This window comes from Homo sapiens, chromosome 20, assembly GCF_000001405.40.
Source record: "Homo sapiens chromosome 20, GRCh38.p14 Primary Assembly".
NCBI lineage: Eukaryota > Metazoa > Chordata > Mammalia > Primates > Hominidae > Homo > Homo sapiens.
In genome coordinates this window covers 20,970,215-20,972,955 of record NC_000020.11, presented here as the reverse complement: position 1 = coordinate 20,972,955, position 2,741 = coordinate 20,970,215, and the positions used below count along the sequence as shown (strand labels likewise).

Sequence of the window (2,741 nt, the reverse complement as noted above, 5' to 3'; positions counted from 1 at the left end):
GTGCAGGGATTATAGGCGTGAGCCACCATGCCCAGCCATGTCTTGAGCTTTTCAAGGGGGCGAAGGAGAGATCAGTAGAAAGGAAGGAAGGAAGGTGTCTGGGAAGGGGATTCTGGTGGGTACTTAGGGTGTAAAATTTGAAGAGACACTGGCTCTCTAGGCCTGGCCCTGGAATCTGGGGTCCAGTGGTAATGAAAAGCCTGTGAGACTGCCTAGGTTCAAGGCATGGCTCTATGGCCACTGGTGGAGTGAATATGGGCAAATTATTTTCAGGGCCTCAGTGACTCATCTGTAAAATGGGCCTAATGATAGCAGCATCTCATGGGGCTTGGGGGGAAATCAAATATTCGGTGCCTAGAATAGTATCTGGTAAATAGTGAATACTCAAATATTGTAGCTTAAATCATTTTATTACCATTATCCTTAAAGGCAATTTGAGGGACTAAAACAATTTGAGACACTAACATTTCTCAACTAACAAGAGGCAACAGAAATAAGAGGAGGGCCGTACCCCCGTAGGCTTGTAGTCAGCTGAGCTTCCTGGGAAACGGGAAAGACAAGCTGGCACCGGGGCAGGAACGGAAGCTCCTGTCTCTTCAGTACTTTTGTTCTACCTCACTCCGGCATTGGAAACCTGGTCACAAATGCCTTGTCATTTGCTGGGCTCTGCCTTCCTCCTCATCCATCAAGGGTTCTCCTTGGCTCTTCAATCCAGTGTTCTTAGACCTTTAAAACGCCTTTATTCTCCAGCCAGTGCTGTTGGCCTTTGAGATGTCATTACTGTGCACGTAGCGGCTCCGGTGCCTACACAGTGGGAAAAACCATCAAGAGTACACAGATAAACCCAGGCTGCCAACTTCACACACTCAGCAAGTCCCCTCTGTGGACAATTAGGGCCAAAAGACAAATATTGACACATTAGACTATTTCCTCATTTATTTTCTGTTGATTGTCTGGGCAATCTGATGGGGCAAAATTCCACTTTTCTGATAACTGATTCTTGGCTAATGGAAACAAATAAAGTAAAGGCTTCTGTCCACAATGGGTCGAGGCCCATTTTGCGGAACTGCTAATCGGATTAAATGGACTCCCAGCTCTATTTGCAGCCACCAAACTCCCTTGAACACTTTCCACATCTGAAGGGTACCCATCATGGTGGCTCTCTTGCTGTTGAAATCAAATGGAGAGGAGCACGCAAAGTCTTGAAACTGCAGCGAAGCCTTCTCCAAGCGAACAAAATACAGGGATGAGGAGAAATGCGTGCCGAGTCCTCCCAATTAAGTGGACAGACAGAGAAAGTGGTTCTGGCCAGCGAGCTGCAGAAATCTATTTTCCTCCTTATAAACACATTTTTCCCCTATTTTTCTTCTTCTTCTTTTTTTTTAAACTGATAATGAGAGTAGTGAACGTGTAAACTTCCACTACTGTGATCCTCATCTCCCGAAAAACCAGAAGTCCTGCAAAAGTCGTCCTCATCGAGCATTCTGGGGGGCAATGCATCTTTCTGATTTTGCCAATTTATCTAGAAAATATTACAATTTAATCTATGTTAATAAAAGACCAACAGGGTAACAATGCCTGGGGTTTTATGTGTCTGGCTGGCGTCTATTAGCATTTAAATCTGCATCCATTACGTTAGTCCCTTAAAATAAACACAAACATTTATGCGAGCGACAATTCGAGTTAGCCTTAGTCAGTCTTAAATAATGTCACTCAACTCGGTATTTGGACCGAAGCCTGTGAATCATGAGGTATATTTTTGCCTACAGTCTGATAATTTTCAAAGCTATTGGCAACCTGGGAATTTTCCTTCCTTATCACCAGGGCTCAGCTAACTTCACTAAGACTAATCAGGCTGGGAATCATTCATTCAAGGATTGCATGATCATGTTTTTCTTTAGCTGTGACAGCTGCCTCAGTCACATTAGCAATGCAGATTAGCCAGCCTAATAGGTTAATGCAGAACACACGAAAATTAGGTTTAATCCCCAGTGAAATAATCTAACATTTTCACATTTCTTGATGTTGGGATAGAGACATTGCTGGTGACTCAATTAGGTGTAATGTAGATCAAAGCAAATTTACCTTCTGGCTGAACCTTCCCAATAGTTTAGACAGAAGAATATAGCAAGGGCCCTCTACTAATTGGTGAATAGCTGTGGGGAAAATTGCATTAGGAACATGTAGGATGTGAGCAGAACTCTTCGGCCGAGGACAGACAATTGACGTATTTTGCAAATATCCACATCTCTCACTTTGCCATGCCTCCCAATGATGTTGCAGCTCAGCGCAGATGCAAACACCTTATGTACCAACCCATTCATCCTTTGGGCATAACTGCAATAAATGGGAACACACACACATACACACACACGCTCTCTCTCTCTCTCTCTCTCTCAATCCATACCTTTTTCACGTCCTGTCCAGGAGTATCACAATTGTGTTCTGAATGGGCCTGCATTGTGAGAGGAGCAGAAAGAGAACGAGAGGGTGTCTAATGTTTTCATTCTGGCGAATAGCATCTCAAACACCCATCTCTTTCAATCATAAAGGGAAGGACACAAAAAATTACATGCCCTCAGTTGCCAAATTATTTTTTGCCTTGACATCTTAATTCTTAATCCTTGTATGTGGTCAAATCAGTCTACTATAGGCAACCAATCAAGCAATTATTTCTAAATTATATTTGCCCAACTCACATTGATTGGCCATTCTTTTCTTACTGGGTTAGCTCATTAATT

General features: G+C 43.1%; 1 long non-coding RNA gene across 1 annotated transcript; it reads right to left on the bottom strand.

The window, feature by feature from the left end:
- Positions 1 to 393: 393 nt before the first annotated feature.
- LINC03083 (long intergenic non-protein coding RNA 3083) lies at positions 394 to 2,508 on the bottom strand. Its single transcript, NR_186504.1, has 2 exons — positions 2,408 to 2,508; positions 394 to 804 (listed from the first exon to the last, which is right to left on the bottom strand). It is a non-coding gene; the product is annotated as a long intergenic non-protein coding RNA 3083 (long non-coding RNA).
- Positions 2,509 to 2,741: the final 233 nt, after the last annotated feature.